Source organism: Homo sapiens, unplaced genomic scaffold, assembly GCF_000001405.40.
Source record: "Homo sapiens unplaced genomic scaffold, GRCh38.p14 Primary Assembly HSCHRUN_RANDOM_CTG1".
Taxonomy (NCBI): Eukaryota; Metazoa; Chordata; class Mammalia; order Primates; family Hominidae; genus Homo; species Homo sapiens.
The window spans coordinates 61,935-85,093 of NT_113901.1; the positions used below are offsets into that span (position 1 = coordinate 61,935).

A 23,159-nucleotide genomic window follows, 5' to 3' on the forward strand; every position below is an offset into this window, starting at 1 on the left:
CCTATTTAATAAATGGTGTTGGAAAACTAGCTAGCCATATGCAAAAAACTGAAACTGGACTTCTTCCTTTCTCGTTATACAAAACATAACTGAAGATGGATTAAAGACTTAAACATAAGACTTAAAACCATAAAAACCCCAGAAGAAAACCAAGGCAGTACCATTCAGGACATAGGCATGGGCAAAGACTTCATGACTACAACACCAAAAACAATGGCAACAAAAGCCAAAATTGACAAACGAGATATAATTAAACTAAAGAGCTTCTGCACAACAAAAAAAACTATATCAGAGTGAACAGGCAACCTAAAGAATGGGAGAAAATTTCTGCAATCTATCCATCTGACAATGGGCTGATATGTAGAATCTACAAAGAACTTAAACAAATTTACAAGAAAAAAAGAAACAACAACATCGAAAATGGGCAAAGGATTTGAACAGACACTTCTCAAAAGGAGACATTTATGCAGCCAATAAACAAATGAAGAAAAGGACATCATCACTGGTTATTAGACACATGCAAATCAAAAACACAATGAGAAACCATCCCACACCTGTTAGAATGGTGATCATTAAAAAAATCAGGAAACAACAAAGGATGTGGAAAAATAGGAAGACTTATACACTGTTGGTGAGAGTGTAAATTAGTTCAACCAGTGTGGAAGACAGTGTGGTGATTCCTCAAGGATCCACAATGAGAAATACCATTTGACCCAGCAATCACATTACTGGGTATATACCCAAAGGATTATAAATTATTCTATTATAAAGATACATGCATACGTATGTTTATTATGGCACTGTTCACAAGAGCAAAAACTTTGAAACAAACCAAATGACCATCAATGATAGACTGAATAAAGAAAACTTGGCATGTCCACATCATGGAATACGATGCAGTCATAAAAAGGATGAGTTCATGTCCTTTGCAGGGACATGGATGAAGCTGGAAACCACCATTCTCAGCAAACTAACACAAGAGTAGAAAAGCTAACATCGCATGTTCTCACTCATAATAGGGAGTTAAACAAAGAGAACACACGGACACAGGAAGGGGAACATCACACACTGGAGCCTGTCGGGAAGTGGGGGACTATGGGAGGGATAGCATTAGAAGAAATATTCCTGGCCTAGGCCACTATTGCGATTTTCTAAATTTTGTTTCAAAAACATGATATGTTTCAAAAATTGTTATTGGTATGTAATTATATAAATATATAGTTCAGAAAAAAGAATCAACATTAATTATGCTTTTTCCAAAATACTTTATGGTTTTGAGCTCTTCTAGCAGTGACATTTTTGCTGTAGGTAATTGCTGTGTATCTGGTATATTCATCATAGCATACTTTGTGCCGTTTACACTTATCCTTCAATTTCCCACTCTCCTAAGTGTAAAAGTTCAAGGCCAGAGCTCCCATATCTTCCCAATATTACTTTTTGAAAAGAAGCTTCTATGTACTGTTTTCTCTGGGTCTTGATTGGATATATTGCTAAAAGAGCTGAAAAATAATAATTTTTTTAAAAATTCGGTGATGAGATTAAAGTAAATATATTTTATAAATCTAATGTACAAAATGAGGTCAGCTGAGAAGACAATGACAGTTGAAGCAGAACCTGAGATCCTGTTTCTCTCCATTGACATATGAACTTAACTACAATTGGGTGAACAAAGCCAGTTGAGTTTGTAGCACCCCACATGAGAAAAAAGCCAACCATAACCACATTTTGAAGAAAATTTGGTCACATTTGTGCACTACAGAACAGCGCAGTTAGATAAAAATCTGTCCATTCCATGATTCTCCTTTGGGAAAGAAAAAAGAGTGAAATGCGTATGCAAACTTCTGACTTACTGAGTTATACCGGGGTTATCTAAAGACTGGAAATTGCTTCCTTTAACATTTAGTGTTGATGAGAATAGAGACTGAGTTTAAATGACAGCTTGGGTCAACTGAGAATAAAGATAAATGCTTCTTACAACAACAGAGACTGTAGTGCCTACAACAGTGACGAAGGGAAGAGACTAAAGGCTCCTAAGAGGAAACAGAGGTAAACCTTATTAACAAGAAAATACATACAGTAGTCCAAAGAAGACACATTTTGACAACAGATTGGAGAAGCTCCCAGTATGACTACTGTGGCTGAATGTTGTCAATTTTCCCATGTATAAAGCTCTTTCATAAAGGATAAAATAGGTAGTGGTTTCTTAATTGATCAAAACCTTAACAAAACTACAGTAAGTAAAAGCAACCAGGAAATATAACTTAATCAAAGGAGAAAAATATATATTCAAGTGAACCTAAAGAAGTGGAGATCTAGGAATTATTTTTTTAACTTAAAATCTTTTTATTTTTCTTTACTTTTTCATTTTATGCAGAGGATCTTACTTTATCTCCTGGGACAGAGTACACTGGTGGAATCACAGCTCACTGTAACCTCAAATTTCGGAAGTCAAGCAGTCATGCCACCTATGTCTCCTGAGTAAATATGACCACAGTTGTGCACATTACCCCTCCTGTATAGTTTCTTTAAAAAAATTTGTACAAACAGTATGTTGCTGTGTTGCCTCGGCTGGTCTCAAACTCCTGGTCTCAGGCAATCCGACTGCTTCAGTCTGAAAGTGCTGGCACAAGCTACCATACCTGGAATTGTTTCTCTTTTAAGAAAAAATAGCTTTAAATCATTAATAGTAAAATAAAACAAAGAAAGGTATTGCGTAACGATAAAGGGTTCAATTCAACAAGAAGACTTAACTATCGTAAATGTAGATGCACCCAACTTTGGGGAACATAGAGTTATACAACAATTACTGCTAGACCGACAATAAGACTCAAGTAGACACACAATAATAGTAGGGGAATGTAACTCCCCACTAAGTGTTTGACAGATTATCTAGGCAGAAACTTAACAAAGAAATTCTGGAGTTTAATTCGACACTTGATCAAATGAAACTAATAGACATTTATAGTATATGCAACACATCATCTAAAGAAAGTAAATTCTTCTCATCTGCTCACAGAATATGACAGGCCACAATGGAACAAAGATAAAAATCAATACCAAGAAAATCTCACAAAATCACAGAATGATATTGAAATTAAACAACTTGCTCCTGAATGAATTTTGGATAAACAAAAAAATTAAGGCAGAAAATTAAAAAGATTTTGAAATAGAAGAGACACAATATAACAAAATGTCTGGGTTGTAGGAAGAGCTCTGTTAAGAGGAAAGTTGAGAGTGCTAAATACCTGCATCAAGAAGTTAGAATGATCTCAAACTAACAATTTAACATCACACTTAGAGAAACTAGAAAAATAAAAACTAACTTACCCCAAAGCTAGCAGAATGGCAAAAATATTCATAACCTATGAACCTGACAAAATCTAATACTCAGAATCTATAAGAAACTTAAAGAATTCACAAGGAAAAAATTACCCCATGAAAAAGTGGGCAATAACAGACACTCTTCAAAAGAACACATACAAGTGGCCAAATAACATGAAAAAAGCTTATCATCACTAACCATCAAGGAAATGTAAATAAAAACCACAATAAGACACCATTGTACACCAGTTAGAATGGTTTTTGTTAAAAAGTAAAATGATAATAGATGTTGATGGGGTTTTAGAGGGAAAAAACCACTTATACACTGTTAATAGGAATGTAAATTAGTTCAGCCACTGTGGAGAGCAGCTTGGAGATTTTCCAAATAACTGAGAGTTAAACTGTGATTCAACCCAGCAATTTCACCGCTGGGTATATACCCAAAAGAGAATAAACTATTCTACCAAAATAGCACATGCACTTGTTGGTTCATCACTACACTATTCATAAGAGGAAGGACCTGAATCAACCTACGTGCCTATTCATGGTAATTTTTTATTTTTTTGAGATGACGTCTCACTCTGTTGCCCAGGCTGGAGTGCAGTGGCACGATCTCAACTCACTACAATCTCCACTTCCCAGGTTCAAGCAATCCTCCTTCCTCAGCCACCCGAGTAGCTGGGACTATAGGCGCATGCCACCAAGCCTGGCTAACTTTTGTATTTCCAGTACAGACGGGGTTTCATTACGTTGTCCAGGATGGTCTCGATCTCCTGACCTCATGATCCACCCGCCTTGGCCTCCCACAGCACTGGGATTACAGGCATCAGCCACCATGTCCAGCCTATTGATGGTAAATTGAATTTAAAAAGTGTCACATGTACAGCAATACTACTTAGCAAAAACAAACAAAAAAAACCTCCTTTGCAGCAACGTTAACACAACAAAAGGCCATTATACAAAGCAAATTAATGCAGAAATGGAAAATGAAAATACTGCATATTCTCACTTATAAATGGAAATTAACACTGGGTACACATGGACAGAAAAACAAAAATAATAGACAACTCTTAGAGGGTGGAGAGAGGGAGGGACCAAGAACTGAAAAACTGTCTACTTAGTACTATGCTCACTACCTGATTGATGGAATTACTCATACTTCAAACCTCAGCATTATGCAAAATACCCATGTAAAAAACCTGTGTAGGTACCTCCTAAATCTAAAATAAATTTGAAATTCTAAAAAGAGGTCTTACTCTCTCACCCAGACAGGAATACAATACCATGATTATAGCTCAATGCAGCCTCAAGTTCCTGGGGAACTCAAGGAATAATCTTACGTCAGCCTCCAACTTCCTGAGACTACAGGAACATTCCACAATGCCTGAGTAATCTGTGAAAATATTTTTTACCAATAGCTTGTCACAATATTGCCCGGGGTAGTGTCAAACTCCTGGATTTAAGTAATTGACAGGGTTTGGCTCTGTGTCCCCAATCAAATCTCATCTTAAATTGTAATAATCCCCACATGTCCTGGGAGGGACCCTGTGGGAGGTAATTGAATCATGGGGGTGGGATCTTCCCATGCTGTTCTCATGATAACAAATAAGTCTCATGTGATCTGATGGTTTTATAAGTGGAGGTTCCCCTGAACGGTCTCTTGCTTGTTCCAATAATGGTGAGACCTCCCTAACCATGTGAAACTGAGAGGCCATTAAAACTTTTTTCATGATAAATTACATAGTCTTGTTTATGTCCTTATTATCAGCATGATAATGGATTAATACAGTAGCCCTCTTGCCTTAGCTTTCAAAGTAGCTGGAGTCACATGCACGTGTCACTGTGCCTGGCTAAAACACCTAGCTTAAAGATGCTCAGTCAGCTAAAGAAGAATATAGAAAACTAAACAGAAAAAGAAAACAATGCATGAAGATAATGAGATTATCAAAGAAGTGATTAAAAGTGCAAAATAGAAACAAAGTGTAGAGCTGAAAAGTAAAATACCTGAGTTTAGAGATTCACTAGAAAGTCCAACAACAGGTTTGATCTAGCAGGAAAAAATACAGCAAGCCTCATAAGAAGTCATTTGAAATTATAGGGTGAGGAGGCTAAAAATAATTTAAAAAATTAAGAGAGCCTAAGGGAATTATAGGATACCATTAAGATGGCCAATATACTCATAATGGGAATTCTAAAATAAAAAGAGAAAAGAGAGCAGCAAAATTATTTCAAGAAACAAACAGTGACAGAGAACTCAGAATTTGAGGGAGAAAATGACCTAAAATTTAATGAAACTTTACCAACTCTAACTAGTAACAACACAGGGAGACCCATGACAAGACACATTATAATCAGAGATTCAAAAGTTAAAACACCGAGAATCTTGAAGTCAGCAAGAAAAAAGTGACTTAGCATGTACAAGTTTACCCCTGCAGGATGACCAGCAGATGTCTCAGCAAAAAAACTTACAGGTAAGAGGTTGTAGGATGACATACTCAAAGTGCTGAAAAAATGGCAACTACCAGCCAAGAACACTATGTCTGCCAAAACTATCATTTCAAATGAATTAAAAAATAAAAATAAAGAATATTCAAGATCAACAAAAACTGTATAAATTTATACCCACTAGGCCTGTCTTAAAAAATGCTAAATAGTCATTCACATTAAAAAATGAAATAATGATGAGAGCAACACAAAATTATGTAAAATATGACATTTTCTAATAGAGAAAATTATGTACACAATCATAATATTCTTTGTAATTATAATGAAGATGCACAGAATACTTTAATTCTGCTATATATTTGAGACAACAAAGACTTAAAAATGACTATAAATCTGTGCCAACAGATTCACAACACAAAATGATATAATTTGTGACATCAATAAAACACATAGGGAGCCATAAAGAGGCAGGGTTTTATATGTAATAGTAGTTATTCTTGGTAATATCTATAGTAACAACAAAGAAAATACCTACAGTTCTTAGGATTTTGAGACTAGTCTGGGTAACATGGAAAAACCCTGTCTCTATGCAAAATAACAACTGTTAGCCAGGAGTAGTGGTGCACATCTGTGGTCCCAGGTACTCAGAAGGCTGTGGTGGGAGGATTGTTTGAGTTGAGCCTGAGAGGCAGAGCTTGAGTAAGCAGAGATTGTGCCACTGCACTCCAGCCTGGGTGACAGAGCAAGACCCTGTCAAAAAAAAAAAGGAAATACCTATAGTACACACACAGAAAGACATACACACACAGAGAGTAGTGAGAAAAGAATTAAAACATGTCACTACAAAAATCAATAGTACACTAAGAAAGAGAACAAGAGAGAAAAACAGGAACGAAATAGCTACAGGACCGGCCAGGGGCGGTGGCTCACGCTTGTAATCCTAGCAATTTGGGAGGCCGAGGTGGGTGGATCAACGAGGTCAGGAGATCGAGCCCATCCTGGCTAACACGGTGAAACCACGTCTCTACCAAAAAAAAAAAAAAAAAAAAAAAAAATAGCCGGGCGTGGTGGCAGGCTCCGGCAATCCCAGCTGCTGGGGAATCTGAGACAGGAGAATGGCATGAACCCGGGAGGCGGAGCTTACTTTGAGCCAAGATCTCACCACTGCACTCCAACCTGGGCGACAGAGAGAGACTCCGTCTCAAAAAAAAAAAAAAAAATGCTGCAGGACCTAAAACAAAAAAGAAACAAAATGCAATACGAAATCATTCCCTTTTAGTAATTTTTTTTATATAAATCAATTATGTCAATCAAAAACATACTTTCACTAAATAAATTCATGAAACAAGATTCAACTCTCTGCTTCCTACAAATAACCAAATTATGATCTGGAACACATATAACCTGTACATGAAAGAATAATAAAAAATATTAAATGCAAAATCAAATACTGTCATGGTAGACAAAATACATATTATATCAAAAACTTCCTCAAGAGACAAGAGGAAAAGGACAATAAAAACAACAACAATAAAAGCAACAACAATAAAGCAACATACAACAATAAAAGCAAAAACATTAAAACAACATACAACAATAAAAGCAACAACAGTAACGCATGTGCCTTACATCACAGTTCCCAAACATATGAAGCAACATTTTACAGAATTGAAACATGAAGTAGCCAGCACCTGATAACAGTAAATGACTTTTATATCTGACTTTTAGTAATGTAAATTAAAAAACAAACATAAGATGGATAAGTAAACAGAGGATTTCAACAACACGATAGGACAATTAGACCTAACAGTCACATTTATATTTCTCCACTCAACAGTAGAATCTGCAATACTTTTAATCACACATGCCACAATATTCCAGATAGACCACCTGTTAAGTTAAAAGATGAATCTTAGCAAATTTAAGCAGATGGAATTACAAAATTATTGCTAACTATGATACAATAAAACAAGAAGTTAAAAACACTAGCATGTCAAAGAATAAGTAAAAATTAAACAACAAATTCTCAAACACACTCTTGTTCAAGAGGTTATAGACTTAATATTGTTAACATGTCACTACTACCGAAAGTGGTTAACTGATTCAATGCTCTTTCTTTTCTTTTCTTTCTTTTTATCTTGAGATGGGTTTTTGCTCTTGTTGCCCAGGGTGGAGTGCAATGGTGTGATCTCAGTTCACTGCAACCTCCACCTCCTGGGTTCAAGCCATTCTCCTGCCTCAGCCTCCTGAGTAGCTGGGATTACAGGCAAGTGCCACCAAACCTGGCTAATTTTGTATTTTTAGTAGAGATGGGGTTTCTCCATGGCTGGTCTCGAACTCCTGACCTCAGGTGATCCACCTTCCTCAGCCTCCCAAAGTGCTGGGATTACAGGCATGAGCCACCACCCCTAGTTGATTCAATATACTTTCTATCAAAATACCAATGAAACTTTTTGCAGAAGTTTTAAAATATTCTATAATTTTTATGGAATTTCAAGTGATTGCAAACAGCCAAATAATATTGGGAAAAAAATATAAAGATAGAGGCATCATACTTTCTAATTTCAAAACATACTATAAAGGTATAGTAATCAAAACTGTTTGGTACTGACAGAAAGACAAATGAATGATGAAACAGATGAGTGTTCGGACATAAGACATCATGGGTTTAGTAAACTTATTTTTAAAAACTGTTCCAAGAATTCACAATAAGGAAAGAACAGTCTCTTCAACAAACAGTATTGAGAATAATAAAAATTTACAAGGAAAAAATAACAAAGTTACACCTTACCTTGCACCAATAAAAACATAAACTCAAGGCCGGGTGTGGTGGCTCACACCTGTAATCCCAGCACTTTGGGAGGCTGAGGCAAGTGAATCACAAGGTCAGGAGATCAAGACCATCCTAGCCAACATGGGGAAACCACGTCTCTACTAAAAATACAAACAAAAATTAGTTGGCGGTGGTGGCACACGCCTATAGTTCCAGCCACTCAGGAGGCTGAGGCAGGAGAATCTCTGGAACCCGGGAGGCAAGAGTTTCAGTGAGCGGAGATCACACCACTGTGCTTCAGCCTGGTGACAGAGAAAGACTCCACCTCATATAAAGAAATAAACTCAAAATAACTAATTTTTGTTAGTTATTAAAATGGAATTTTAAACTTTATTTTTCAGATATTTTGCTATCAGCATACAGAAAGCTGCTACTCTGTTGATTTTCTGCAATGTTACAGAATTTGTTTAGTAGTTCTATTAGGTTTTGGTGTAGTGTTTAGAGTTTTTCACATATAAGATTATTTTGTCCACAATCAGAGACCATTTGACTTCATCCTTTCCTATTAGTATGAGTTTATTTCTACCTCTTGCATAATGTCCTTGGCTAAGACTTCCAGTACTATGTTGAATAAGAGGTCTGAAAGTGGGGATGATTAGTCTTGTTCCGGATCTCAGAGAGAAAGCTTTCAGCTTTTCCTTATTCAGTATAATGTTAGCATTGCTTTGTCATAAATGGCCTTTATTGTGTTGAGAAACATAACTTCTATTCCTAATTTGTTGAGAGTTTTCATCATAATGAATGTTGAATTTCATCCAACGTTTCTTCTGCATAAGCAAAAGGTACAAAAATTAAAATACTTAATGTGATGGTTAATACTGGCTGTCAAATTGATTGGATTGGAGGATAGAAAGCATTGATCCTGGGTGTGCCTGTGAGGGTGTTGACAAACGAGATTAACATTTGAGTCAATGGGCTGGGAAAGGGAGGCCCACTCTTAATTGGGTGAGCGCCATCTAATAAGCTGCCAATGAATATAAAGCAGGCAGGAAAACGTAAAAAGGAGAGACTGGCCTAAGCTCCCAGTCTACATCTTTCTCCTGTGCTGGACGTTTCCAGCCCTCAAACACCAGACTCCAAGTTCTTCAGCTTTGGGACGTGGACTGCCTCTCCTTGCTCCTAAAACTTGCAGACAACCTATTGTGAGATCTTGTGATCTCTCTAGGGAGCCCGACTAATACACCTAGCAACAAACTTAACTTAAAAGGTACAAGATCTCTACTCTGAAAATGACAAAACATGGATAAAAAATATAAAATACAAATGAATAAATGAAAAAATCTTGTGTTTATACACTGGAAGAATACTGTTAATTACCCAAAGTGATCTAGAGACTAACGTGATTTTTATCAAAATATCAATGACATTTTTTCACAGAAATAGAAAAAATATTTTAAATTTATGTGGATCCACAAAAAACTCTGAATAGACAAATAACTTTGAGCAAAATAAGCAAAGCTAAAGGCATCACTTTATCAAACTTCAAAACTTGCTACAAAGCTATAGTAACCAAAACAGCACTGTACTGGCATAAAAACAAACACATAGACTAATGTGCCCAAGAAGCCCAGAAGTTAGTTTATGCACCTAAAGCCAACTGATTGTCAACAAAATTGCCAAGAACACACTTTAGGGAAAAGCTAATTTCTTCAATAAATGATGCAGGGCCATTTAAATATTTAAATTCAGAAAAATTATACTAGACCCCTGTGCCTTGCCATATATGAAAATCAATTCAAACTAAAGACTTAAATGTAATGCTATCAATTATGAAACTATTAGAGAAAAACTAAAAAATGCTTTATAACATTCGACGGGGAAAGGATTATTAAAATAACATGTCAAAACATAGGCAACAAAATCAAAAATAAGCAAACAACATTATGTCAAACTAAAATGCTTTTCCATATTAAAAAAACTAAAAGATTGAAGAGACAGCTTAGGCAATAAAAGAAAATGCTTTCAGGCTATACATATGACAAAAGGCTAATATTCAGAATAAATAAGAAACTTTAAAATCTCAAAATAAAATACACTTATAATCTAATTAAAAAATGCAAAACATCTTAATAGATGTTTGTCAAAAAGTGATACAAAAATGGCTAACTGGAACATAAAAATATGTTCTACATTACTAATCACTAAGGAAATGAAAATCCAAACCACAATGAGGTACCGCCTCACTCCCATTTAGAATGGCTATAATAAAAATAAATAAATAAATAAAACAAGTACTAATGAGGATATAAAATGAGTGAATGTATACATTGTTGGTGGAATTGTAAATTAGTATGGCCACTATAGAAAATACTATGGAGGTTTCTGAAAGAAATTAAAAATAGATGTATTACATGATCCAGCAATTTTACTCCTGCATGTATATACAAAAGAAAGGATATCACTGTGTCAAAAAGATATTTGCATTTCCATGTTAGTTACAGAACTAGTTATAATAGCTTATATATGGAATCAATTCAAATGTACAGCAACAGATAAATGGATAAGGAAAATGTACTATATATGCACAGTGAAATACTATTCAGCTATAAGAAAGGATAAAATTCTGTCAGTTAAAAGAGCATGGATGAACCTTGAGCATACCATGTTAAGTAAAATAAGCCACATAGAGAAACACAAATACTTTATGATCTTATTATCTCACTCATTTGAGGAACCTGAAAAAAAGGGTTGATATAAGCAAAGAGTACAACAGGGGTTCCCAGAGACTGAAGCAGGGAGATGGGAAAAGGCAGCTTCAAAAGTATTGTGTTACAATTAGATAGGAGAAATAAGTTTTTGTTTTTTGTTACACGGCAGAATAATAATAATTAATGAAAAGTTATCTCAAATTACAAAATAGCTAAAAGAGACCAGTTGTGGTGGCACATTCCTGCCATCCATACATTTTGGGAGAATGAGGTAGGAGAATCACTTGACGTCAGAAGTTCAAGATGAGCCTGGACAACATAGTGTGACCCTGTCTCTATGAAAAATTAAAACATTATCCAGGCATGGAGGCAGGTTCCTGTAGTCTCAGCTAATTGGGAAGCTGAGGTTAGAAGATTGTTTGAGGTTACAGTGAGCTAGGATTGCACCACTGCACTCCAATCTGTGTGTTAGAGCAAGATCCTGTCTCTAAAAAAAGTTAATATATAAAGATATAAAAAAATAGCTAGAGAAGAAGCTTTTGAATGTTCTCACCACAAAAATAACAAATGTATGAGGCAATAATTACACTAAGTACTCTGATTTTTATTGCTATACAACATATATACATAATTGTTTCCCCAAAATTTGTACAATTACATGTGTCAATTTTAAAATATGAAGACTATAATGTAAAATCTATAGCTGTAAAATTCCTAGCACAATACAGAAGGGTGAAGCTTCATGACAATTGGTCTCGGCAATAATTTGGGGGATGTAACATCAACGAATCAGACAACAAAAGCAAGGGAATACACATGGTACTAAATCAGTGTGTGAAAAATATCCCAAACAGGCAAAGCAGAACATGGAATAGATATATGCACATTTATGTACACTGTAGCATTACTCACAAACATACTACCTGGAAGCAAATGTACCTTTAAGGATGAGTAGATTCAACAAACAGGGCACGTATATTCACTGGGATAGCATTCAGCCTTAAAAATAAGGAAATCTTGAAAAGTACTACAATAAGGACAAATCTCGAAAACATTCTGTTAAGTAAAACAAGACAGTCAAAAAGGAAAACTGTATAATTACACCTATGTAAAATATTTAGTCAAACTCAAAGAAACCAAGTGTTGTAGTCTCAGCAGTGCACCAAGATGTAACAGTCTCTCATAGTCTGAGATAGCATCGAAAGTTCTTTGTTCTACTTCTAGGGAGATTAAGGAGCGTGAACACAAAGGTGAGGTTAGAGTGAAAGTTTGATAAGCAAGAGAAGAAAGCTCTTTGCCAGCAGAGATAGTTTCTGAATGGGGTGACCTCTGTGAGGCTGGGGCCCAAGGTTTTTATGGACTGGGAAAGGAAGAGAAGGAAATGTGCTTAGTTCACAGGCTGTCTTGAAAAAAGTGTGGCTCAGCTTGGCCCAGGACTTTGGCCCGGGACCAATCAGGAGCTGAAGGGATGATTCATACATGCTATTTAGATTGGCCCAGGACTTATCAGAAGCCAAAGTGAAAGCTTGGCGCAGGAGCTTGTCCCGGGAGCAATCAGGGGCTGAAGTAATTATTCACAGAGGTCAGACTTACAGTCCAAATAAAGGAGAGTGTCGACCGGAATGCACCAGAGCCCACTGTGCTTATGCCCACAGAAGGAGAAGAAACATTTTCCTGGGAGCGCACTGACTGCACAAAGTACAAAGGCGTTTCTTTTTTTCTTTTTCTTTTCTTTCTTTCTTTCATTTTTTTTTTGAGATGTACTTTCTTATTATTTATTTATTTATTTATTTATTTATTTATTTATTTATTTATTTTGAGACGTAGTTTTGCTCTTGTTGCCCAGGCTGGAGTGCAGTGGTGCGATCTCGGCCCACAGCAAACTCCGCCACCTGGATGTAAGTGATTCTCCTGCCTCAGCCTCCCAAGTAGCTGGGATTACAGGCATGAGGCGCCATGCCCGGCTAATTTTGTATTTTTAGTAGAGACAGGGTTTCTCCATGTTGGTCATGCTGGTCTCGAACTCCCGACCTCAGGTGATCCGTCCACTTCCGCCCAAATTGCTGGAATTACGGGCATGAGCCACCATGCCTGGCCAAACAAAGGCAATTCTATGCCAGGTCGGTCTTGTTCCCTTATCTCAGTGAGCTGGAGGTTTGTACCAGTTTTTATCCAAATGGGCCAGAGGTTTTTCTGTCTGGGCAGCCATGGGCAGGTCTCCAAGCACAACACCATGTGCTAGTTACCTTGTTAGTGTCTGCAGCTTGATTTTTTCCAGGATTCCTTTTATGTTATGCAGGGATGAGATACTGACCCAAGGGCCAGGGACTTTCCAGGGACCCTTCTCTTGCTATCTAACTAAAGCAAGCTAACTAACTTGTTTCAGAATTAATGAGTATTCACTTTTAATTTTGTAAGACAAAAATTATCTAAAACCTATTGCAAAAAAAATAGAACTATACTTACCACTTCTAAACCATATACTTAAAATGTTAGAAATGAAAATGGCATGTTTTTAACTACAATTAGAAATTTAGGACTACCTAAAAGGCACGGTTACAAAATCTTCAAACATCCCCTTCAAATAACAAAGGGTTCTTCTCACATAATTTTTTAGATTTAAACTATAAGTTGATTGTAAATTTAAGATTATTTCCCTGACTACTCACCAAGATAGAATAAAATAATCACTAGAAACCAAGAAAAGAGGAAAATTTATAGCACTAATGTCCACATCAAAAAGCTAGAAAGGGCCAGTCATGGTGGCTCATGCCTGTAATTCCAGCACTTTGGGAGGCTGGGGTAGGCAGATCACTTGAGACCAGGTGTTCAGGACCAGCCTGACCAACAGCAAAACCATATCTCTACAAAAAAATACAAAAATTAGCTAGGTGTGGTGATTCACATCTGTAATCCCAGCTACTCAGGAGGCTGAGACAGCAGAAGTGACTTAAAACCGAGAAGAGGAGGTTGCAGTGAGCCGAGATTATGCCACTGTACTCCAGTCTGGGTGACAGAGTGAAACTCTCCCACAAGAAAAAAAAAAAAATTAGAAAGATCTGAAGTTAACAGCCTAACATCTTGATTAAAAGAACAAGAAAACCAAGTGAAAACAAACCTGAAAGCTAGCAGAAAACAAGAAATAGCCAAGATCAGAGTAGAGCTGAAGGAGATAGAGACACTGAGAACTCTTCCAAAAAAAAAAAAAAAAAAAAAAAACTCAACCAATCCAGGAGCTGTTTTTATGAAAAAAAAAAAAAAAAAATTAATAAACTAGATGGAACACTAGTTAGGCAAATAAATAAGAAAAGAAAGAACCAAACACAAATAGAAATAATAAGGGAGATATCATCACTGATCCCATGGAAATAAGAACAATGATCAGAGAATACTATAAACACCTCTATGCTCATAAACCAGAAAATCTAGAAGAAATGGACAATTTCCTTGCAAAATAAACTCTCCACAAGACTGAACCCTGAATAGATCAATAATGTGTTCTGAAATTGAGGCAGTAAGAACTAGCCTACCAAGCAAGCTGAATTTGACTTGAGGTAAAGAGGAGATAGTACATTTTCTCCTAAAACTATCCAAAAAAAATTGAAGACAAAGAAGTTCTGTCTAACTCATTCTATCAGGCCAGCATCATCCTGATACCAAAACCTAACATAGATACAACAACAACAACAACAACACATCATGCCAATGTCTTTGATGAACACTGTGCAAACATCCTCAATAAAATACTGGCAAACCAAACCCAGCAGCACATTAAAAAGTGCATCCACCACAATGGAATTGGCTTTGTCCCCAGGATGCAAGGTTGATTCAACATATGCAAATCAACAAATGTGACTCATCACATAAAGAAAACTAAATAAAAAAAACACATGATTACCTCAATAGATGCAGAAAAAGCACCCAATAAAATTCAACATTCCTTCACGTTTAAAATTCTCAATAAACTAGGAACTGAAGAAACATACCTCAAAATAAGAAGAGCCATATACAACAAACCCACAGCCAATATCATACTGAATGTGCAAAAGCTGGAAACATTCCCCCTGAAAACCGGCACAAGAAAAGTATGCTCTCTCTCACCACTCGCATTACAACTCCCATTCGGAAAACTTGTCCAGGAAAATCAGGCCAGAGGAAGAAATAAACAGTATTCAAATAGAAAGAGAGAAAGTCAAATTATCTTTGTTTACAGATGACCTGACCCTATATCTAGAAAGCCTCTTCGTCTCAGCCCCAAAGCTTCTTAAGGTGATAAGCAGCAGTAGCAAAATCTCAGGATATAAAATCAATCTGCAAAAGTAGCTAGCATTCCCATACACAAGCAACAGGCAAGCAGGGAGACAAATCATGAATGAACTTTCATTCACATTTGCTATAAAGAGAAAAAAATACCAAGGAATACAGCTAAGAAGGAAAGTGAAGGATATCTTCAAGGAGAACTACAAACAACTACTCAGAGGAATCAGAGTGGACACAAAACAAATGGAGAAACATTCCATGCTCACGGAGAGAAAGAATCAGTACCACGAATATGAGCATATTGCCCTAAGTAATTTATAGATTCAATGCTGTTCCCATTGAACTACTGACATTCTTCAGATAATTAGAAAAAAAAAACTTTTTAAAATTAAAATGGAACCAAAAAAGAGCCCAAATAGCCAAGCCAACCTTAAGAAAAAAAAAAAAAAAAAGCTGAAAGGGTCATTGCCTAACTTCAAACTGTACTAGAAGAGTACAGTAACAAAAACAGCATGGTACTGGTATAGAAACAGACACATAGACAAATGAAACAAAATAGAGAGCATAGAAATAAAGCCAAAAACCTACAACAAACTGATCTTTGACAAAGTCAACAAAAACAAGGAATTAGGGAAAAGTCTCCCTATTCAATAAATAGTGCTAGGATAACTGGCTAGTCATGTGCAGAGAATTAAGACTGGAACCCTTCCTAACACCATAGACAAAAATTGACTCAAGATGGATTAAAGACTTGAATGTAAAACCCAAAACTATAAAAACCTTAGAAGAAAAAATCTAGAAAATACCATTCAGGATATAGTCATGAGGAAAGATTTGATGACAAAAAGACCAAAAGAAATAGCAACAAAAGCAAAAATTGACTAATGGGGTCTAATTAAACTAAAGAGATTCCACAGAGCCAAAGAAGCTATCATCAGAGCAGAGAAGCTAGAGAATGGGAGAAAAATTTTGCAACCTATTCATCTGACAAATATCTAATACCCAGAATCTATGAGGGACTTAAAATTTACAAGAGAAAAACAAACAACCCCATTAAAAAGTGGTCAAAGGACATGAACAGACATATCTCAAAAGAAGACATACATGTGCCCAACAAACATGGAAAGCTCAACATCACTGATAAGTGGATAAATACACATCAAAACAACAATGAGATACCATCTCACACCAATTACAATGTCTATTAATAAAAAGTAAAAAAGAAATAAAAACAGATGCTGGTGAGGTTGTGGAGAAAAGGGAACACTTTTACACTGTTGGTGGGATTGTAAATTATTTCAAGCATTGTGGAAGAGAGTGTGGAGATTCCTCAAAGACCTAGAAGCAGAAATACCATTTGACCCAGCAATACTATTACTGGGCATACACCCAAAGGAATATAAATCTATTTTAAATAAACATGTATACATATGTTCATTGCAGCAATATTTACAATAGCAACGTCATGTAATCAATCTACATGCCCATCAATGATATACTGGATAAAGAAAATGTGGTACACATACACCATGGAACACTATGAAGCCATAAAATGTAATGAGATGATGTCCTTTGCAGGGACATGGTTGGAATTTGAAGCCACTACTCCCAGCAAACTAATGCAGGAACAGAAAACCAAACACCACCTATTATTATTCTAACTTATTAGCAGAAGCAGATCAATGAGAACACATGGACACATCAGGAAGAACAACACACACTGGACACCTGTTTCATGGCATGGGGGAGGGGAAGGAGAGCAGCAGGAAGAATAGCTGCGGATGCTGGGCTTAGTACCTGGGTGATGAGATGATCTGTGCAGTAAAGCACAATGGCACACGTTTATCTATGTAAGAGACCTGCATATCCTGCACATGGACCCCTAAACTTAAAATAAAAGTTGAAAAAAAAGCTTATCACATATGGACCACTGAACTTAAAATAAAACTTGAAAAAACATGAGTATGAGGTGGATTCCCTAGGTTAGACCCAAACTGAGGATCCTGAAGCTCCTGCTGGGGGATTTGGGGCTGGGGGCACCCTGGGGAGCTGCTGCCAAGGCCATCCACCGTCCATACAGGCCGCCTCCCTTCCCGGCCTGTGATGGAAAGGAGAAGGGGTATGTGAACAGCTGTGGAAGTCAGACTCTCGGGAACTGAATCAGGCCCCAGCCCATGCCCCCCAGCCCAGTCCAGCCAACGTGCCCGCTGTCTTCCCACCCAGCCAGCCGAGCCCTCAGGATTGTTAGATGGAACCAGGCTCCATCACCACCCAGGCATGGAGGGAAGATGCCCTGGTCCTTAGCAAGCAAGGCCTGGTTTCCAAAGTGCTCTCCGAAGAGGCCTCATGTTTGTGACATCTTAGAAGGTACCTTTCTGCTGTTCTTGCACCCAGCATGTTGGCAAGTCAAGTTCCCCCACTGAGTTCTCCACACATAAGGAGGGAGTCAACACCATTGCTAAGTCGGATCAGCTCAAGGGTCTCCAGTATCAGTTTTATCAGATCCCAGGGACCTGCCTGCTCCCAGAGGTGACAGAGAAAAATCAAGGAACGATCTGTATGGTCACTGACATGGATGAAACCCTTGTGCATAGCTCCATTAAGCCAATCAGCAATGCTGACTGCCTAGTGACTGTAAAGATTGAGGGGACCATGAGGCCTTATATGGATGAGTTCCTGAGATGACTGGAGGAACTGTTTAAATGTGTTTTCTTCATTGCTCTCTTCATTCCAGACTGAACAAGTATGCAGATCCTGTTGAGAGGTGACAGCGTGCTGGCAGTCCTCACAACCCTTGCTCACTCTCCGGGCCTCCTCTGCCTGGGCTCCAACTTTGGCGGCACTTTAGGAGCCCTTCAGCCTGTCGCTGCACTGTGGGAGCCCCTTTCTGGGCTGGCCAAGGTCGGAGCCGGCTCCCTCAGCTTGCGACGAGGTGTGGAGGGAGAGGTGCGTGTGGGAACCAGGGCGGCGTGCAGTGCTTGAAGGCCAGCGCGAGCTCGGCGGACCCCACACTCGGAGCCGCCGGCTGGCCCCACCGGCCCCAGGCAGTGAGGGGCTTAACACCTCGGCCAGCAGCTGCTGTGCTCAATTTCTCGCTGGGCCTTAGCTGCCATCCCACAGGGCAGGGCTTGGGTCCTGCAGCCCGCCATGCCTGAGCCTCCCCCCCATCGGTGGGCTCCTGTGTGCCCAAGCCTCCTGGATGAGTGCCGCCCCCTGCTCCACAGCACCCAGTCCCATCAACCACCCAAGGGCTGAGAAGTGCGGGTGCACAGTGCCAGACTGGCAGGCAGCTACACCTGCAGACCCTGTGGGGGATCCACTGGGTGAAGCCAGCTGGGCTCCTGAGTCTGGTAGGGACGTGGAGAAACTTTGTGTCTAGCTCAGGGATTGTAAATACACCAATCGGCACTCTGTATCTAGCTCAAGGTTTGTAAACATGCCAACCAGCACCCTGTGTCTAGCTCAGGGTTTGTGAATGCACCAATCAACACTCTGTATCTAGCTACACTGGGGGGGATGTGGAGAACCTTTGTGTCTAGCTCAGGGATTGTAAACACACCAATCAGCGCCCTGTGAAAAAAGACCACTCGGCTCTAACAATCAGCAAGATGTGGGTGGGGCCAGATAAGGGAATAAAAGTAGGCTGCCCCAGCCAGCAGTGGCAACCCACTCGGGTCCCCTTCCACACTGTGGAAGCTTTGTTCTTTTGCTCTTTGCAATAAATATTGCTGCTGCTCACTCTTTGGGTCCACAATGCCTTTATGAGCTGTAACACTCACTGTGAAGGTCCACAACTTCACTCCTGAAGCCAGCGAGACCACGAACCCACCTGGAGGAATGAACAACTCCAGATGTGCCACCTTAAGAGCTGTAACACTCACCGCGAACGTCTGCAGCTTCACTCCTGAGCCAGCGAGACCACGAGCCCACCAGAGGGAAGAAACTCTCAACACATCCGAATGTCAGAAGGAACAAACTCCAGACATGCCACCTTTAAGAACTGTAACACTCACCGTGAGGGTCTGTGGCTTCATTCTTGAAGTCAGTGAGAACAAGAACCCACCAATTCCAGACACATTGTGATGGGTGTGCTGGACCAGTGTGAGGTGTTCTGGGGTTGCCTAGCCCATGAGTCACGTTTGTTCCACCAGGGCTGCTATGTCAATGACCTCAGCCATCTGGGGAGGGACCTGAGGAAAACTCTCATCCTGGACAACTCGCCTGCTTCTTACGTCTTCCACACAGAGAATGCAGTGCCTGTGCAGTCCTGGTTTGATAACATTCCAGACAGCAGCTGCTGCACCTGATATCAGTCTTTGAGGACATGAGTGGAGCAGAGGGCATCTATACTAGCCTTGGGCAGCAGTGGGCCCTTAGCCTTTCCTGCTTCCCAGCAATGGCCATCACAGTAGGGGATTTTCCCACACTGTGCCTTTATGATCAGCCTGAAAGAATGAAGCCTGGAACACCTACCCACATGGGCCTGGAAACAGTGAGAAGTGATTGAAAAGAGCTTTAGGACAGCTTAGATTCCCAGTGGGTGAATGCCAGACCAAGGATACCCAGAGCTACCTGCCATCAAGTTTTTGGGTTCCCAAGATGTGGGTGTGAGAGAAAGAAAGAGAGCATGTGTGTTTTGTGATGAACTGTGGGCCCAATATATAGTGTTTCAGTAGGGGAGAAGCTGAAGGACAGAGACTCTTCCCAAGTTAGCTTTGTCTCCTCTCCTGTCACCCTATGAGACCCTGAGTTCCATAGGGATGAAGACTGTTGAAGGCTCCATTGCAAACCTGGTCTTTCTTCAGTGCTGCAAGGCCTATGCCAAGGAGAAAGGAAAAGTATGCCTTTGGGTGTTCCAGACACATATCTTTCTGAAATATTTCTCCAGCCAGTTGTTGCAGACAAAAGACGATATTTCTGGGAAGATGGGGACTTATGTCCAGACCAGTACCCAAACCATCAGGTCTTGTGGCCTAAAGGCTATGCTTACTTAAGTCCAGCCAAGTGCCTGGGATGGATCCTTTCTGCATCTCCTCAAGACTCACCACTTAGGCATAGCCTCAAACCTGTGGGGAAGGAAGTTGTCTCCCCACCCTGCAAGAGGACAAATAACTGATTTCTCTTCTTTCGACTCTGTTTTAAAATTCTCTTAAAAAAAAAAAAAAAGCCTATCTGAAACTGAAAAGAAAAAAACAAAAAAACAAGGAAAAAGATGTCATACTTACATAAGTGAAAAACATACAGATATATCTATAAGCAACAAACACAGCTAATTCACACATATATTAAACATCACATTGAGATAAAGTGTACCGAGCTAAAAATTATCTTTCAACTGATGATATCAAGCTTTAAAATAAAAATACATTTAACTGATCTGAGAAAACATAACTCCCAAGAAAAGAAACACAATAACACGGACTTGAAAATAAGAAGAGAGATTTTCGTGCATAAAATCCTGAATACAACATAGATTTACAATGGAAAATAACCGTTTTTTTTTTTATTTTTTTTTTGAGACAGAGTCTTGCCCTGTTGCCCAGGCTGGAGTGCAGTGGCGCGATCTCGGCTCACTGCAAACTCTGTCCACTGAGTTCACGCCATTCTCCTGCCTCAGCCTCCTGAGTAGCTGGGGATACAGGCGCCTGCCACTATGCCCGGTTAATTTTTTGTATATTTAGTAGAGACGGGGTTTCACCATGTTAGTCAGGGTTGTCTCGATCTCCTGACCTCGTGATCCACCCGCCTTGGCCTCCCAAGGTGCTGGGAATACAGGCATGAGCCACCACAACCGGCCGAAAAATAATTCTTTAGATATCTACAGCATTCAACTGTGTGCACTCATGAAAAGCAGACAATTTAAGTCATTAGAATTTAATAAATTGCAGTAAAATTATACAGAAAATACATTACAATCATTAATAACAGGCTCTAATGAGAGGAATTTAATAAATAATCATTAAAAATACAGGATAATTTTATTATGTTCTCAATATGTTGCTGCACTTCTTACCACAAAACATAATAAAATTATATGACTATAATATAGATTTCAGGAGCTAAAAAAGCCTTATATTTCCAAATAAAAGAACAACATAAATTTTGCAAAATATGACGAGCATTACTGCAGTATAAAGTAAATATCTGGAATTAAAATATGCCATCATTTAGATACAGACTAAAAAAAAGAATATAAATGTTAATGATTCCTTTCTGCCTGCAGTGAGCTTAAAATTACAACCAAAAATTTTAATAAATATGTAGCACCTACAAGACATTTTATTAATAGCTTACATAATGTGGAAATTTGAGCAATTTATTTTAGAATTTTTGAATCTAAAAATCACCAGCTTGACATTCATTTGAGAAAGTGAAACATAAAGGAGAGTAACATAAGCAAGATGACAGAATGGGAGGTTCGGCATGCACATCCCCCACAACATAATGCAGCTGCCACGGGAAACATAAGTGCATTCATGAAAGCCTTAGAATCCAGTTCAGAGTTTGTGACACCCAGCTGGAGGCAAAGACCAAGGAAGACATCTTTAGAGGGTAAGCACTTGACCAAGTGGCAAGCTTGCCAATCATGGTCCTCGGTTCAAAACAGAATACTACCACATCTTACTGTAAACTTGGCTATGACTCATTTGAACTTGGTCCTGCCACTGCAAAAATCTGTGAAAAACACAAAAGAATTCATACTCATCTGAGACTTAGGTGACAGGCCTGCAGAACTTGGTTCTCTCTATAGTCCCTGAATCAGGCAAAACACACCTTCTTTCCTTCTCCAGCCATGGTCTGGAAGAAATCTTCACATTGATATGATGAAATGCTAACTAACAATATGAAAAATACTAAAGTATAAATGTCACTAAAAATGGTAAATACATACTGAAATTCAGAATACTCTAAATTGTTATCATCTTAAACTAGACTATTAAAATACAAGAGGTTTTACATAAGTCTCATGATAACCACTGGGGGAAAAAAAAACATAGTAAAGAAAAAGAGAAAGTAATTAAAGCATACACAAACAACAAAAATTACACATTGGATACAGTGGCTCCTGCTTATAATTCCAACACTTTTGGAGGCCAAGGTGGAAGAATCATAAGCTCCTTGGGTGTTGTGGTACGTGTCCAAGTAGTCCAAGCTACTTGGGTGGCTAAGGGGGGAGGATTGCTTGAGCCCAGGAGATTGAGGCTACAGTGAGCTGTGATATGCCACTGAACTTCAGTCTGAGCAAGAAAGCATAACTTTGTCTCAACAAAAATGAACAATACCACAGGAAAGACAGAACCAGAAAAAAAAGAAGCAAACTTAAAATGGACAGAAAACTACAAATGTACAATAGTAACTGCTTACTTATCACTACCTTACAAATAAAAAGATTAAATTATCTACTAAACAGATACTTCTGTAGACTGAATGTCATCTCCAAAATTTAGGATAAAATGGCCAATGTGAAAGAATTAAGAGGTGGAACCTTTAAAAATTAATTAAGCTATAAGCACTCTGCCCTCATGAATGGATTAATGTTCTTATTATGGGAATGGGCTAATTTTAACAAGAATGGATCTGTTATATATTAAAAAAAAAAAAGCTGTCTCTCCCTCACATCTTTGGCCATGTTATTATCCAGCAACTAGACC

The 23,159-nt window shown here is 38.5% G+C and overlaps 1 long non-coding RNA gene across 11 annotated transcripts in view; it reads right to left on the reverse strand.

Moving 5' to 3' along the window:
* The window catches only part of LOC389831 (uncharacterized), a 43,798-nt gene that overhangs the window by 18,997 nt on the left and 1,642 nt on the right, over positions 1-23,159 (reverse strand). For 4 of the 11 annotated variants that reach the window (XR_009530071.1, XR_009530072.1, XR_009530073.1 and 1 more), the window contains exon 2: positions 12,187-22,316. The exons of 5 other annotated variants lie outside the window; for them this stretch is intronic. This is a non-coding gene — a long non-coding RNA (uncharacterized LOC389831). The remainder of the gene's footprint in view (positions 1-12,186; positions 22,317-23,159) is intronic. 2 more of the 11 variants (NR_187193.1, NR_187196.1) reach the window with 1 other exon arrangement.